The following is an 18,182-nucleotide window of genomic DNA, read 5'->3' on the forward strand; positions in this document are numbered from 1 at the left end:
TCTAGAAAAAGAGGGCAAAAGATATCAGAAATACAAGTTTTCAAAACCAAAATATACACATTTCTAGACTGAAAAAATTAATGCATAATGAATTTAAAATGACCCACATTAAGGCATATCGTACAATTTCAGAAAACCAACAAGGATAACAGAAGATCCCAAATGCTTCTAGAGGAAAAAAAAAAAATAAGATTGAAAAAACAGAAGGAGGCCCGGCACAGTGGCTCACGTCTGTAATCCCAGCTCTTTGGGAGGACAAGGCACGAGGATCACTTGAACCCAAGCGTTCAAGACCAGCCTGGGCAATAAAGTAAGACCTTATCTCTAACAAAAATAAAACAACAAAAAAAATTAGCCAGGAGGCTGGGCACAGTGGCTTACGCCTATAATCCCAGCACTTTGGGAGGCAGGTGGATCATTTGGGGTCAGGAGTTCAATACCAGCCTGACCAATATGGTGAAACCCCATCTCTACTAAACATATAAAAAAAAAAAAAATTAGCCGGGTGTGGTGGTGCATGCCTGTAGTCCCAGCTACTAGGGAGGCTGAGGCAGGAGAATCGCTTGAGGCTGATAGGGAGGCGGAGGTTACAGTGAGCTGAGATGGCACCAACTGCACTCCAGCCTGGGTGATAGAGTGACACTCAGTCTCAGAAAAAAAAAAAAAAAATTAGCCAGACATGGTGGCATATACCTATGTAGTCCCAGCTACTTGGAAAGCAGAGGTTGCAGTGAACCAAGATCATACCAACCACCCTCCTGCCCAGGCAATGGAGTGAGACTCTGTCTCCAAAAAAAAAAAAAAAAAGGAAAAGAAAATCAGAAGGGCACCAGACTTTACCGCAACTCTGTATACTAGAAAACAGTGGGCTGGGCATGATAGCTCACGCCTGTAATCCTTGCACTTTGGGAGGCCCAAGGCGAGCGGATCACTTGAGCCCAGGAGTTCGAGAGCAGCCCAGGCAACATAGCAAAACCCCATCTCTACAAAACATACAAAAATTAGCTGGGTGTGGCAGCACACGCCTGTAGTACCAGCTACTTGGGAGGCTGAGGCACGTAAATCACTTGAACCAGGGAAGCAGAGGTTGCAGTGAGCCGAGATCACGCCACTGCACTCCAGCCTGGGTGACAGAGCAAGACTCAGTCTCAAAAAAAAAAAAAAAAAAGATACATGAATGGTGTTCTTTCCTACAGAACTATTATTCTCTATAGCTTATTAATCAAGATGCATTCCGCTCTGATCTAAAACTTTTAGATTCATTAGGACACTGATTTAGGAAAAAAACTAGTTTTGAAACACCATGCTCAAGAAACACAACAACAAACTGGAAGAAAAACAGTATTAAATATTTGAGATTGAGGTTGAAGTTAAATTTCTAAAAACTAGCCAATATTACCTCTATTAAGAGAAGCACCTACACAGACCTTCAACAGACAGGTATCTGAAAAGTATTCATAATCTGATGAAAAGATCAATAGCCTATGCGTAAATTGCACAATAACACTTCTGAGTTTTTAATGTCAAGTCTTTCAAAATTATGGCTTTTAAAAGCTGCAAATGACTCTCCCTCTCCCTCTCCCTCTCCCCACGGTCTCCCTCCTCTCCCTCTCTTTCCACGGTCTCCCTCTGATGCCGAGCCAAAGCTGGACGGTACTGCTGCCATCTCGGCTCACTGCAACCTCCCTGCCTGATTCTCCTGCCTCAGCTAGCCGAGTGCCTGCGATTGCAGGCGCGCGCCGCCACGCCTGACTGGTTTTCGTATTTTTTTGGTGGAGACGGGGATTCGCTGTGTTGGCCGGGCTGGTCTCCAGCTCCTAACCGCGAGTGATCCGCCAGCCTCGGCCTCCCGAGGTGCCGGGATTGCAGACGGAGTCTCGTTCACTCAGTGCTCAAAATGGTGCCCAGGCTGGAGCGCAGTGGCGTGATCTCGGCTCGCTACAACCTCCACCTCCCAGCAGCCTGCCTTGGCCTCCCAAAGTGCCGAGACTGCAGCCTCTGCCCGGCCGCCACCCCGTCTGGGAAGTGAGGAGCGTCTCCGCCTGGCTGCCCATCGTCTGGGATGTGAGGAGCCCCTCTGCCTGGCTGCCCAGTCTGGAAAGTGAGGAGCGTCTCTGCCCGGCCGCCATCCCATCTAGGAAGTGAGGAGCGCCTCTTCCCGGCCGCCATCACATCTGGGAAGTGAGGAGCGTCTCTGCCCGGCCGCCCATCGTCTGAGATGCGGGGAGCACCTCTGCCCTGCCGCCCCGTCCGGGATGTGAGGAGCATCTCTGCCCGGACGCCCCGTCTGAGAAATGAGGAGACCCTCTGCCTGGCAACCGCCCCGTCTGAGAAGTGAGGAGCCCCTCCGCCCGGCAGCCGCCCCGTCTGAGAAGTGAGGAGCCCCTCCGCCCAGCAGCCACCCCGTCCGGGAAGTGAGGAGCGTCTCCGCCCGGCAGCCACCTCGTCCGGGAGGGAGGTGGGGGGGTCAGCCCCCCACCCAGCCAGCCGCCCCGTCCGGGAGGTGAGGGGCGCCTCTGCCCGGCCGCCCCTACTGGGAAGTGAGGAGCCACTCTGCCCGGCCAGCCGCCCTGTCCGGGAGGGAGGTGGGGGGGTCAGCCCCCTGCCCGGCCAGCCGCCCCGTCCGGGAGGGAGGTGGGGGGGTCAGCCCCCAAGCCCGGCCAGCCGCCCCGTCCGGGAGGGAGGTGGGGGGATCAGCCCCCCGCCTGGCCAGCCGCCCCGTCCGGGAGGTGAGGGGCGCCTCTGCCCGGCCGCCCCTACTGGGAAGTGAGGAGCCCCTCTGTCCGGCCAGCTGCCCCGTCCAGGAGGGAGGTGGGGGGGGTCAGCCCCCCGCCCGGCCAGCCGCCCCGTCCGGGAGGTGAGGGGCGCCTCTGCCCGGCCGCGCCTACTGGGAAGTGAGGAGCCCCTCTGCCCGGCCACCACCCCGTCTGGGAGGTGTACCCAACAGCTCACTGAGAACGGGCCATGATGACAAGGGCGGTTTTGTGGAATAGAAAGTGGGGAAAGGTGGGGAAAAGATTGAGAAATCGGATGGTTGCCGTGTCTGTGTAGAAAGAGGTAGACATGGGAGACTTTTCATTTTGTTCTACACTAAGAAAAATTCTTCTGCCTTGGGATCCTGTTGATCGGTGACCTTAAACCCAACCCTGTGCTCTCTGAAACATGTGCTGTATCCACTCAGGGTTGAATGGATTAAGGGCGGTGCAAGATGTGCTTTGTTAAACAGATGCTTGAAGGCAGCATGCTCCTTAAGAGTCATCACCACTCCCTAATCTCAAGTACCCAGGGACACAAACACTGCGGAAGGCCGCAGGGTCCTCTGCCTAGGAAAACCAGAGACCTTTGTTCACTTGTTTATCTGCTGACCTTCCCTCCACTATTGTCCTGTGACCCTGCCAAATCCCCCTCTGCGAGAAACACCCAAGAATGATCAATAAAAAATAATAATAATAAAATAAAATTAAAAATAAATAAATAAATAAAAGCTGCAAATGAAGTCTAGAATCTTTCTGAATTTGTAAGATCCAGTGGCCGGTTACCTTAACAATCAATTACATTACTCATTGTAGGTGAAAGAACCAGGAAACCAAGAATGCAAAAAAGATATGGAAATACAATTGAAGAAAGACAACTTTAATATCAACTTCCACTTTAATTTTTGAAGGCTACTAGTAAAAACATACATTTTAAGCAGTACAACCTCTTTAAAAAGAATGTTACTCAGCACTCCTCTTACCTTTCTTGTTAATAGACTTTTACGTCTCATTCCACAAGCCTCTAGTTGTAACCTTCCTCTCAATGCTAATTCAATTAACATACAGCCACGTAATCCAGATGATATACAGTCATTCCAAAATGATGTGTAACCCTATTAAAAAAAGAAGAAGAAATAAAACAAAATAGCTAATTTACCTTGAATTCAGAGTAAAAAACAGAAATATTATCAGCCAAAGTCATATTTGGTGCCTTTTACCTTTCCTGTCTTTCTATAATAATATACTGAAAAAATACAATTAACATAAATTACTAATCGAGAATTTTCGGGGGCTTATCTTTCCACCACTTATTCTTACATACAAACAACAAATAACTTTAGAGGTCATAAGTTTAGAAACATAACTCACATTTCACCAAGCTGTGTGTTTATTAGGTTCTTTCAGAACCCTGCAAACTCCAAGGAATACTCAGTTAACCCCAGATTATAGTGATTTATTTATGTGGACAAGTTAAGAAGCTCAGGCAAAGACAACCTAGCCAAGTTAGCTTCACAGAGAATTAGAATACCATTCATTTATTGCTGTTTAGGATAAAACCACAAGGTTAATCCGAGCACTTTGGGAGGCTGAGCCAAGACGATGGCTTGAGCCCAGGAGTTTGAGACCAGACTGGACAACATAGTGAGATCCTGTTTCTACCAAAAAAAATTAATTAGCTAGGTGTGGTGCTGCACACCTGTAGTCGCAGCTACCCAGGAAGCTAAGGCAGGAGGACCACTGTGTCCAAGAGTTCAAGGCTACAGTGAGCAATAATTACACCAACACACTGCAGCCTGGGCAAAACAGTGCGACATTGTCTCTTAAATACACACACTGTTAATTTTGTAAGAAGATATTAGAAAAACACACATGCGCCCACAAACAAATGGATGGCTATAGGCCTAAAATTCTCAATAATAAACAGTATAACAATCAGATTGGCCCCAAGAGAGAATGTAAGGGCAGCATCCACAGTGGAAGAACGGCCAGACATAAGGAGGTTGATAGACATCTAGAGATCTGGGATACTGGTCAAGCAGGCATCACCAGATGAGGTCAGGACACTTTAACAGCAAACAACTGGGGTTGTTCAAATTATAAAGCCACAAATCTTGCCAGCAGGATTGCCAGCTATCAATTTAAGATACCCAGTTCTCATGAGACAGCAGAAGCTATAAATAACTCTCATTAAGGCTCAGAACAGGGTAACACAATTTTGGTAGGAGAACAGGCCAACTGAATCTCTAAAGAATGGAGGGCCCAGGATTAGGAAGGCCTGGCCCTCACCTCTGGCACTTTTCCAAGGTCAATCCTGGCACTTTGTCAGGCCAGAGTAGTGAGCTTGTGTTTCAGAAGATGACTGACCATTGAGGTCCATCAAACTTCATTTTTGATACAAGGAGTTAAATTCGCCTCACCAAGCTACCACTTCTGAGAATGTGACCTTTGGGAAAATAACAATTTAAAGGAGGCACAAGCGGATAAACAAAAACATCAGTGTTAAGAGATCAATTTAAATGTGAGGTGTAAGTAGCAGACACTGACTGGATTTTAGGGAGTCACTTTAAACTTAGGGTCGGGGCCTGATCAAATGAAGATTACCAGAGATTTAGCAAAGTGGCTAATAATACCAGTACTTTATAGAGGTTAGGTAAAATGCGTGGCTTCTGTGTCCATGAAATTAAAGCCCTAGGAAGCCTGAGAATGAATTCCACATGAAATTAAAGTTACAGATATCTGGCTTTGACTGGCCTGGACATATAGACAGAGTTCCTAAATGAGCCTCTACAAACTGTAAACAACAGAGAACACCTCATAAAGCAATAATGGACGTGAACAGCCCTACAGCCTGCAAACTCCAGCTGAACAGTACCTGGAGGCTTACATTTGACAGCAGAGAACTAAAATATGTCTCAATCTCAATTGCTCCTAGAGTAATGGCATACCCAGAGATATTAGCAAAATGGGGTCTTTAGTAACAGACTTCAGAGATCTAAATTTAGTGAATGGCTTTAGGCATCATCGCTGAAAGACACATGCTTAAACAGAATTGGATTCACATGGGAAAGTAGATGAATGGGAACGGACAGTTCTGTACCACAGCTTCTGGGACTCGTCAGCAATATTCCAAAGATAAATGAAGCCAACAAAGACACACCAAACAACAGAAAAGTACAGTATGTTGATACCCTCCTGCTAAAATCCATGTCATAAAAGCAGGATCAAAAATTAACCATAGGGTGGCCAGGCGCAGTGACATACACCTGTAATCCCAGCACTTCGGGAGGCAGAGGCAAGCAGATTGCTTGAGCCCAGGAATTCCAGACCCCTGGGCAACATGGTGAAACCCCATCTCTACAAAAAATACAAAAATTAGCCGGGCATGGTGGCACCCGTCTGTGGTCCCAGCTACTTGGAAGGCTGAGGTGGGAGAATCACCTGAGCTCAGGAACTTGAGGCTGCAGTGAGCCATGATCATGCCACTGCACTCCAGCCTGGATGACAGGAGTAAGACCCTATCTCAAAAAAAAAAAAAAGATAAAATATGTGGGGAAGGTTAGTAACTGGCAGCATCAAGCAGCTTATGACTGTAGTCATAATTAGTTCCTATGTTCTAAAATATAAGGATGGGAGAGGACAGAGACACCCCAAGTAGGCTGGGCCATACACTACCAGACCTCCATCTGCCTGATTCCCTTTATTCTTTCAAGTGGCTCAATTTGAATGGTAGAAAAGGGTATTGTTTATTAAGTCCCCTAAAACTGCCAACACTGAGAAGAGTTCTCACCATTCCAGTTAAGAGCTACTGTTCTGCTCTCAACTGCCTACTTACCCAGAAGCTTTTTGTTAAGAAGGAACTCAAAAGGTTGGTAACCCAAAATGAAATGTAATAAAAATATTTTGTATAAAGATCATAACAGGGATATAACCGGAAGTATAAGATTTTCCTTATATGTTATTAAAAACATTTACAACATGGGAAAATGCTCATAATATATATTCTACATGAGAAACAGATAAAAAATTATATTATCTAAAGCAGAGTGTCCAATCTTTTGGCTTCCCTGGGCCATACTGGAAGAATTATTATCTTGGCCCACACATAAAATATACTAACACTAATGACAGCTGATGAGCTAAAGAAAACAAAAAAAAAAACCTCATGTTTTAACAAAGTTTACAAATTTGTGCTGGACCAGATTCAAAGCCGTAGGCCACCTGCGGCCCACAGGCCACGGGTTGGACAAGCTTGATCTAAAGTGTAATCTTATTTTGAAGTTACATAAATATTAATACGTATGTATATCATAGGTTTGTATTTACAAAAAAACTTATAAATGTTCACATCCTTTGACACAATTCTTATGGGCCTTTAGTTAGAAAATACTGTGCACAAAAATATATGTACAAATATATTGATCACATCATTATCATAGTAAAACACAAAAACAATCTAAAAGCAAAAAAAAGGGAATAAACTCAGCACTTCCCAAACTTTCCTGACCTTGAAGCATTTTAATTTACAGTATACTTTTAACAGCCTACAGAATATTACAATTCTATGAAAATCAGTTTTAAAAATCCTGGTGCAGGAGGCGGAGGCTGCAGTGAGCCGAGATTGCACCACTGCACTCTAGCCTGGTGACAGAGCAAGACTTCATCTCAAACAAAAAAAAAAAGAAAAGAAATCCTGGTGCAGAGGTTATTACAAAACATGAAAAATTATTATGAAATCGTGTGTGTGTGTGTAGAGAGACAGAAAATAGTCCCATTTTTTAGGGAGATTAGAAGAAAAGTTTTAGCAGCAGTAATGTCTGGTGATTATGGTGATCTTTATTTTCTTTAGGCTTTTCTGTATATAGTAAAGGAAAACTCGTGGCAAGGAGATAAGTAAGGTTTTCCTTACTGATCAACTATAGTTATAGTTGTTCAAGCTTAAAAGGCAATAGTTATGATAGTGGCAGTAATTTGACAGAGGCAAAACACTAGAAGAACTAAAAACTCTCCATGAAAATAACTATGAACCACAAAGTAAAACATATTTGTGAAGTAGTAAAGAACTGTGCTCAAGAGCCCAGACCGCACAAACACCTGGCGATTCAAATCAACTCCAGCTCTACCACATACTATATAGTTAAATTTCTGAGACTAGTTTTCTTCATATAAAACAAGTTGTGAAGATTAAATAATATATATAAAGCACAACCCCTGGCAATTAGTAATTACTTAATTATGTACAATTAGAATGGAATGGGGATGGAGGACTGCAAACTCAGTTACTTAGAAAGTACAAAGAACATGACTGAATAAAGAGACCCAGGTGTGGATTGCAGCAAGCTGGACAATGTCCTCTTCCATCTATCTGGGGAAGACAGCTTAGCCCTTATCAACTGTTGCCATGTAAAATGTGGGCCTGCTCTTGCCACATCTTTTTCAAGAGGGCAGAAACGTCCGTTTCTATATATTACTTCCATCTTTGAAAGGATTACAACTCAAGTTTTACTAAACAAAACATATCTGGCAAACCAGTTTGCAACCGCTAAACATTTTACAAAACATACTACGTTATATGAATGTTCAGTTACTAGTAGTCTGTATAGGCATAAAGTACTCAAAATAGTTTCATTTTGTTTTTATGTACAAAATATTTCAAAATGAAATCACTAAAAACACTATATTTTCTATATAAGGTTGAATTCTGGTGTGACCAATGTTTTGGAAATGGCTTTCTAATAGAAATATAGGCCAGGTCCACATGGTGGCTCACGCCTGTAATCCCAGCACTTTGGGAGGCCAAGGTGGGCAGATCACGATGTCAGGAGATCGAGACCATCCTGGCTAACACGGTGAAACCCCATCTCTACTAAAAATATAAAAAATTAGCTGGGCGTGGTGGTGGGCACCTGTAGTCCCAGCTACTCGGGAGGCTGAGGCAGGAGAATAACGTGACCCCAGGAGGCGGAGCTTGCAGTGAGGCGAGATCGCGCCAATGCACTCCAGCCTGGGCAAGAGAGCAAGACTCTGTCTCAAAAAAAATAAAAAATACAAAATACAAAATTACCCAGGCGTGGTGGCGCATGCCTGTAATCCCAGCTACTCAGGAGGTTGAGGCAGGAGAACTGCTTGAACCTGGGAGGCAGAGGTTGCAGTAAGCTGAGATCGCACCACTGCACCCCAGCCTGGGCAACAAGAGCGAAACTCCATCTCAAAAAAAAAGAAAAAAAGAAAGGTGATTGTACTTGCCAAATCTAAATGGACCAGGATGAACAAATTAAGTCTCCCTCCTGAGTATCTGAACTTGCCATACTGAATCAGTTATATGGGCATGGCACTGGAGCTGTACTGGCTGTGTGGATTCAGAAGCTACTGGCCATTGGGTACAAATGCAGAGAATGAAGGTAACAGAAAGGAAAACAGAAGACAAATGCAGAGTAGAAATGAGAGAGGATGCAATGTGAGGCAAACCAAGACATACAGAGACAGAGAGGCAGACAGGCACATACACGGAATAGCATGTTTGTTGTTTTAACCTGCTATGTTTTGTTATGCAGTAAGATAATTAATACAGTGGGTGCCCAGGGCTGGCAAAATGGGAAAAGGGAGAGGTAATGGCTAAAGGGGATGAGCTTTCTTTTGGAAGTGATAAAAATATTCTAAAATTGATTATGGTGGTGGTTGTACAAATCTGAAAACCTTGAATTGTACACTTCAAATGACAATTATATGGCATATGAATCATATCTCAGAGCTGTTACAAAAAAACATTCTATAAAGTCACTTCTGAAATCTTACATGAAATTTTGATTATGTCAAAAATTAAGAATCAAAAAGTTCTTGACAAAAATAACTAATCAAGAGAATGAAGGTGACTTCAGGTAAAAGCAGATTAAAAAGACTAGACAAGAAAAGGTATCTACAGATATAAGAACTGTTAAAGAAGTAGTAAGGCTGGGCACTGTGGCTCACGCCTGTAATCTCAGCACTTTAAGAGGCCGAGGCGGGCAGATCACCTGAGGTCACGAGTTCAAGACCAGCCTGGCCAAGGCGGCAAAACCCCATCTCTACTAAAAATACAAAAATTAGCCAGGTGTGGTGGCTCATGCCTGTAATAGCAGCTACTCGGGAGGCTGAGGCAGGAGAATCGCTAGATCCTGGGAGGCAGAGGCTGCAGTGAGCCACTGCACTTCAGCCTGGGCAAAAGAGTGAAACTGTCTCAAGAAAAAAAAAAAAAGTAGTAAAACTGCATTTGCTGGTGATATTGTTGGATATTTAGAAAAACTCATAAGAGTAAATGGAAAAATTACTATAGATAGGAGTTTAGTAAAGTAGCCAGATTATATAAAATTAAACACCAGTTGTCATATACAAACAAAATACACATGTTAAAATACTAAAAAGTTAAAATATAATTGAAAAGACCTTTACAACAGCAACAAAAAGAACAAAAAATACCATGGCAAAACCTATATGAAAAGTTTAAAGTCTCTTGAAAGACTTAAAAATAGACTTGAATAATAGAAAGATATTTCATTCTTATATACAAAGTCTCAGCATTATTATTAGTTCTTCCTAAGTTAATAAATGTAATATCCCAATAAAAATAGCAACAGATTTTCCCTGGAGCTATACAAGTTACAAATAAAAGTTCCTAAAGAAAAAAAAAAAAAATAGCCAGGAAAACTTGGGGAGATAGCAACATATGTAGGGAACAGAAATGAAAGCTGTCCTACTAGATACTAAAATAGATTTAAAAGTCTCTAAAATTAAAATGATGTCACACTGGCACATGAATAGACAGACCAACAGAATAAATTCCAGAAACAAACCCAAGAACATACTGAAATCAAATACAGATTGAGTATCCCTTATCCAAAATGCTTGTGACTGGAAATGTTATGGAGTTAAGATTTTTTTTCACATTTTGGAATATTTGCATTATACCCAAATCCGAAAATCTGAAATCCAAAATGCTCCAATGAGCATTTTCTTTGATTCTCACGCTGGTGCTGAAAAAGTTTTAGATACTAGAGCATTTACAATTTCAGATTTTCGAAATTGGGATTCTCAATCTGTACACGATAAAAATGTCATCACAAATCAATGTAACATGGAAAGATGAACATTTTAAACAAACGTGTTGGGACAACCAGATAGTCATTAGGAAAAACATAATTGGATCAATTCCTTATTATACATCAATATAAATTCCAGATGGATCAGAGGCTGAAATGTAAAGTGAAATAACGTAAGTACTAGAAGACAAAATAAGAGTGAAAACCTTTATAATCTGGGAGTGAAAGAAAAAACTTCCCAGCTATTCTCAAAATCTAGGAGCAATAAAAGAGACTACCCATTTTTTTGGTAAAGTTTGCAGGGTAAAAATCATAGCAAAGTCACTTATATCACAGATAAATCTCTAGTATACAATTAGTTCCTAAAAATAAAGTTGCTTTTTTTTTTTTTTTTAATATTTTGAGGCCAGGCACAGTGGCTTACACCCGTAATCCCAGCACTTTGGGAGGCAAAGGCAGGGGGATCACCTAGGCCAGGAGTTTCAGACCAGCCTGGTAACACAGCGAGAGCTGTCTCTACAAAAAATGTTTTAAAATTAGCTGGGTGCGATAGCACATGCCTGTAGACCTAGCTACTCGGGAGGACTTGAGCCTGGGAGGTTGAGGCTGCAATGAGCTATAATTGCACTTACGCACTCTAACCGGGTGACAAAGCAAGATCCTGTCTCAAAAAAATATATATTTTGAAATATTCAATTTTTTAAAAGGTAACAGATGATGAAGTTCACAGAAGAAATGGAAACTGCTAAAACATACCAAAAGATGCTTTGTCATTCATAATAAAAATATACATTTAAAATACATGAGACCTTAACAGCAAAAAGAAACCCACCTAATTCAAAAAAAGGCAAAACATGTATATACAAACCATGAATTTGGATAAATATAGTATATGCATACAAGAAAACAGTATTCAGTCTTAAAAATTAAAATTCTGATACACAGATCTATGTAAAATTCTGATACATAGCTACAAAACATGGATGAACTCTGAAGACATTATGCTAAGTGAAATTAGCCAGTCATGAAAAGACAAAATACTCTATGGTTCCACATATATGGGGTACCTAGAATAGTCAAATTCATAGAGACAGTGGTTCCCAGGGACTGTGGAGAGAAGGAAATAGTAGCTATTGTTTAATGGATAGAGTTTCGGTATGAAATGATGGAGAAGTTCTGGAGAGGGATAGTGGTGATGACGGCACAGTGTGAATCTACTTAATGCCACTAAACTGTACCACTTAAAAATGTTTTAAATGGTACACTTGATGTTATGCATATTTTACCTTTTTTTTTTTCTTTTTGAGACAGAGTCTCACTCTGTTGCCCAGGCTGGAGTGCAGTGGCACAATCTCAGCTCATTGCAACCTCCACCTCCCAGGTTCAAGTAATTCTCCTGCCTCAGCCTCCCAAGTAGCTGGGACTACAGGCGTGCGCCACCATGCCCGGCTAATTATTCTATTTTTAGTACAGATGGGGTTTCACTACGTTGGCCAAGCTGGTCTCGAACTCCTGACCGCGTGATCCGCCCACCTCAGCCTCCCAAAGTGCTGGGATTACAGGTATGAGCCACCGCGCCTGCCCCCCCCAGCCTTTTTTTTTTTTTTTAAACTACATGAAATCATGCTTACCTATCAGACCGGCAAAAATCCAAAAGCTTGGCCGGGTGCAGTGGCTCACACCTGTAATCCCAGCACTTCGGGAGGCGAGGCGGGCGGATCACTTGAGGTCAGGAGTTCGAGACCAGCCTGGCCAACGTGGCAAAATGCTGTCTCTACTAAAAATACAAAAATTAGCTGGGCGTGGTTGCATGTGCCTGTAATCCCAGCTATTAAGGAGGCTGAGGCAGGAGAATCGCTTGAACTCAGGAAGCCAAGGTTGCAGTGAACCAGGATCACACCACTGCACTCCCACCTGGGCAAGAGAGTGAGACTCAGTCTCAAAAAAAAAACAAAAACAAAAACAAAAAAAAAACCCAAAAGCTTGACAGCATAGTTGGCAAAAATGAGGGAAACAGGCATTCTCATAACTATGATGGGAATGTCAAAATGACACCACTTTTACTGAGGGAAATTTGGGGATCTAGAAAAATCACACATAGATTTACCCTTTAACTTGACAATTCTACTTCTAAGGAATCCACTATGAAGAAACAGCCCCATAAATATGCAACAGTATATGCATATGGTTATTGTGATATTATCTGTAGGAGCAAAAGTTTGGAAACAACCCATAAATCCATCAATAAGGGACTGGATGAATATACAAAGATATATCTACCACATAATGGAATACTACAGAACCATAAAATATTTCTAAGTAATAGTGATAGAGAACAATCTTTAGAATATAACATGTAAAAAGCAAGGTGCACACAGTGTATGTAGTCCATTACCTTGTATATGAAGGAGAGGAGCAATGATATGAATATACGTATAGTTTTGCTAACAAAATATCAGAAAGATAAACTCTAACTTTTCAAGAACTACTAATGGGGGAAGGAAAGAATGAGGTAGAAGAAAGATGGAAATGAGACTTTTGAATATAACTTGCAATATAATTATATGCACTGAAAACAGAAAAAAAAAAAAAACTCCTGAAGAATGAAAACAACCGTATACTACTTAGTGATAGAGCCACAAAGAAAAGCTATTTTAACTTTAGAATACAGTATTTTGACTGCACATTCTTAATAAAAATACTACAAAGAAATTGTAAGCCAAACTCAAGTCAATTAGTAGTAATGTTGACATTTTTATTTTGAAACTGTTTTAATACAAGCGGTAAGCCAATGCAAATATTTGAAGAACCAAAATTTTCAGTAAGAAAAAAGATAAATATAAAACCCAGTAAGTTAAATAAAAATCTATAATGTTAAACTTGAACCAAAAACCACGTAAACAGATTTTTTTTCCTCTAAAATGTTTGCTAGCTCTGTCCCTTGAGGAAAATATATCCTATCTCTGTATACGAAAGAGTCCTACAAGCAGTAACAACTCAGTAACACTGAGTACACCCAGTGTACTCACACCAGAGTGTGGTCCATTCCCCACCAGATGGAAAACAGGATTCCTTGAAGGAATGACTGATTATAAGTCTGAAACAGGAAATGTACGAGTTGAGTCCAGGACATTGTGTTGGCCTTGCCAAAAAGCAAGAAATTATCAAAGGTTAATAACCTGTATCACAAAGAACACTGAAACCAACTTAGAAAATAACTCCCATAGGCTAAAAGTGAGACAATTTAAACATCAAGAAGAGTAATTAATATAAGTGAATGAAACACAATGAATATATATAAAACCGCAAGTCATAATTTTAAAAAAGAAAAGAGCCCATACCTCACTAGATACCACTGGAAGTAGCTAAGGCACAAACTCCTAACCCAAAACTTAGTAATTAAAATGAAATTAAGTGTTTATCCTGCCTTTTAAGTGCATAAAATGCACAGGATTATAAAGGAAACCAAATCAGTCATCAAAATATTAAAAATGAATTTGTGATATATGTGCTTTATTAGCAGATTAAACAAGTTCTAGTGGCAGATCTAATAACTATTATAATTCCAATGTAGTAGTGAGCAAAGACAGTATTCTGAGATATCTGCAATAACTGTGATGTGATATGAAAGTATCTCTGGTCTCTCTAGTGGTGACAAACTCACAGATACTATTAATACTTCTTTGGCTTGTGGCCTACAATTATAGTTGATGTAGATGTTAACTTTCAGGTATAGGTCACTAAAAATAAATTAATTTTTCCCCTCTCAAATGTTTCCTGAATTCTACAGTGACCCCAAGCTAAGAATCCCTAAATTAGATGAAAAGTAGGGGAAATTTCCAACAGGCAGATAGGTCTGTCACCAAATGAACTCACTGGTCTTCAAATTCTAAAACCAGACACTGGATGACTCCTGATGCAATGAACATGAAAACACATAGGATTATCTAAGAAGTCATCTTGGCTGGGTGCAGTGGCTCACACCTGTAATCCCAGTACTTTGGGAGGCCAAGGCGGGCAGATCACGAGGTCAGGAGTTCGAGACCAGCCTGGCCAACAGGGTGAAACCCTGTCACTACTAAAAATACAAAAATTAGCCAGGCGTGGTGGCATGCGCCTGTAATCCCAGCTACTTGGTAGGCCAAGACAGAAGAATCACTTGAACCCAAGAGACAAAGGTTGCAGTGGACAGAGGTTACAGTGACCCAAGATCGCACCACTGCAATCCCGCCTGGGCGACAGAGCAAGACTCTGTCTCAAAAAAAAAAAAAAATTAACGTTCTAAAATGTATTATGGTGATGGATACACAACTCTAAATACACTAAAAGTCACTGCATTGTTACCTTTTACTTTGTTTTTTTAAAGACAGGGTTTCATTCTGTCACCCAGGCTAGAGTGCAGTGGCTTGATCATAGCTCACTGCAACCTTGAACTGCTGGGCTGAAATGATCTGCCCACCTCAGCCTCCTGAGTAGCTGAGACTATAAGCAGGCACCAGCACACTCGGCTTTTTATTTTTATTTTTTTAGCAATGGGATCTCACTACGTTGTCCAGGCTAGTCTCAAATTCCTGGCTTTAAGCAATCCTCCTGCCTTGGTCTCCTCCAAAGTGCTAGGATTACAGGCATGTAATCCTGGATTGTACTGTTTAAATAAGTGAATTGTCAATTAAATCTCAATAAAGCTGTTACCAAAAAAACTAAGCCAAAAACTCCCCTTAAGCATTTCAAATGACTAAAGAAAGCCCTCAGCTTTCTGATTTTTTTAATTAGCAAAAGAGTAAGGCTATAGACTACATGTTTGTGTCCCCCCAAAACTCTCATGTTAAGATTCTAGCCGGAAGCGGTGGCTCATGCCTATAATCTCAGCACTTTGGGAGGCCGAGGCAGGCAGATCACCTGAGGTCGGGAGTTTGAGACCAGCCTGACCAACATGGAGAAACCCTGTCTCTACTAAAAATATAAAATTAGTGGGGCATGGTGGCGCATGCCTGTAATCCCAGCTACTTGGGAGGCTGAGGCAGGAGAACTGCTTGAACCCAGGAGGCGGAGGTTGCCGTGAACCAACATTGAGCCACTGCACTCCAGCCGGGCAACAAGAGTGAAACACTGTCTCAAAAAAAAAAAAAAAAAAAAAAAAAAAAAAAAAAAAAAGATTCTAACCCCCAACAGGGTCTCTGGAAGGTCATTAAGTCATGAAGGCAGAAGCCTCATGAATGCAATTAGTGCCCTTATAAAAGAGGCCCCAGAGAGTCCCTATGCCCTTCTGCCATGTGAGGATGCAATGAGAAGACAACCAGGAAGCAGGCCCTCACCAATTTCTTGTTCTTGAACTTCCCAGACTCCAGAACTGTGAGAAATAAATTCCTGTTGTTAGCTGGGCACAGTAGCTCATGCCTGTAATCCCAGCACTTTGGGAGGCTGAGGTGGGCGGATCGCCTGAGGTCAGGAGTTTGAGACTAGCCTGGTGGTCTCAGCCATGATAAAACCCTGTCTCTAGTAAAAATAGAAAATGAGCCAGGTATGGTAGTGTGCACCTGTAATCCCAGCTACTTGGGAGGCTGAGGCAAGAGAATCACTTGAACCTGGGAGGCAGCGGTTGCAGTGAATGGAGACTGCGCCACTGCACTCCAGCCTGGGTGACAGAGCGAGATTCTGTCTCAAAAAAAAAAAAAATCTGTTGTTTATAAGTCACACTGTCTATTGTGGTAGTCCCAACCTTTTTGGTGCCAGGGACTGGTTTCAGGAAAGACAATTTTTTCCACGGACTGGAGCGGCGGGGGGGATGGTTTTGGGATGAGCCTGTTCCACCTCAGATCCTATCGGGCATTAGTTAAAATTCTCATAAGGATCGCCTACCTTAGATCCCTCATCACATGCGCAGCTCATAACAGGGTTCATACTCCTATGAGAATCTAATGGCTGCTGCTGATCTGACAGGAGGCGGAGCTCAGGCAGTAATGCTCGCTTGCCCGCCCCTCACCTCCTGCTGTGCAACCTAGTTCCTAACAGGCCACAGACCAGTACCGGTCCATAGCCCGGAGATTAGAGATCCTTGGTCTATGGTATTTTACAGCAGCCCAAATAAACTAAGACAGATAACAAAACCAGTAAAGTAACTAAATAATGATTGGATTTGGGTGCCATCCACATGTGTAAGTTACTGGTAGTAATCAAGTTATGATTACGTTTTAAAAGTTCCCTTTTAAGCAATTTGTAACACAGAATGTATTTTTTCACAGAAGTAACAGCCAGGGCCCTCAGGGCCTCTATTCTCATGGTCTTCACTCAAAACCAGGGATCTTATCTGCCACTCCCTGGGAACTTGGACATCAGCATCCTTAAACCCACAACCTTTTGATGAGAACCAAATCCAACTCGGAAATTCAATCCACAAGTAACTTTTCATCATCCTTATGGGGATTCCAATCCTCAGCCTTCCTCCCTTTTTCCCACCAGTCTCCTCCGTTCTTTCCCTCATCCCCACCCAGCACAATAAGTTACTGTGCACATACCATGTGCAAAGCACTGTTCTGAGTACTAAGTACTGTGGGAGCTCATTTCAACCTTCGCAACAACCTTCTGAACTAAGTGCTATTATTATCAATCCCAATTCAAAGATGGGCAAACAACGCCAGAGTACACTACCTTCAACTACACCCTTACTAGTTTCCTAAACACATCCATTGTTTCCCACTGCATTCAACTAGCAAAACTCCAGCCCCGGATCAATCCAACTGTCACTTTTTCCATATCTGTACCTGTGTTTCTGAACTGCTGATGTAAAAAAATATTGAAATCTCAGTATATAAATGTACTGTCTCCAACTTAAACTAAACCTTTAATGATACTGGGGTTGGGCATAGTGGCTCACGCCTCTAATCCCAGCACTTTGGGAGGCTAAGGCGGGTGGATCACTTAAGGTCAGCAGATTTGAGACCAGCCTGACCAATATAGTGAAACCCCATCGCTACTAAAAATACAAAATTAGCCGGGCATGGTGGTGCATGCCTGTAATCCCAGCTACTTGGGAGGCTAAGGCAGAAGAATCGCTTGAACCCAGGAGGAGGAGGTTGCAGTGAGCCGAGATCACGCCATTGTACTCCAGCCTGGGTAACAAGAGCTAAACTCTGTCTCAAAATAAATAAATAAATAAATAAATAAATAAATAAATAAATAAAATACACACACACACACACACACACACACACACACACACACTGGGCAAAATCAGCTTTAAACTCTGTCTCAAAATAAATAAATAAATAAATAAATAAATAAATAAATAAAATACACACACACACACACACACACACACACACACACACACACACGGCAAAATCAGTTTCCCTAC

The 18,182-nt window shown here is 42.0% G+C and overlaps 1 protein-coding gene across 1 annotated transcript in view; it reads right to left on the reverse strand.

Annotated features, from left to right (window-relative positions):
* GOLPH3 (golgi phosphoprotein 3) overlaps positions 1-18,182 on the reverse strand; it is a 49,604-nt gene that overhangs the window by 15,297 nt on the left and 16,125 nt on the right. Inside the window, exon 2 of the mRNA NM_022130.4 lies at positions 3,737-3,868. Within this exon, the coding sequence (NP_071413.1) occupies positions 3,737-3,868 (132 nt within the window). The remainder of the gene's footprint in view (positions 1-3,736; positions 3,869-18,182) is intronic.

This window comes from Homo sapiens, chromosome 5 (genome assembly GCF_000001405.40).
Source record: "Homo sapiens chromosome 5, GRCh38.p14 Primary Assembly".
Lineage (NCBI taxonomy): Eukaryota > Metazoa > Chordata > Mammalia > Primates > Hominidae > Homo > Homo sapiens.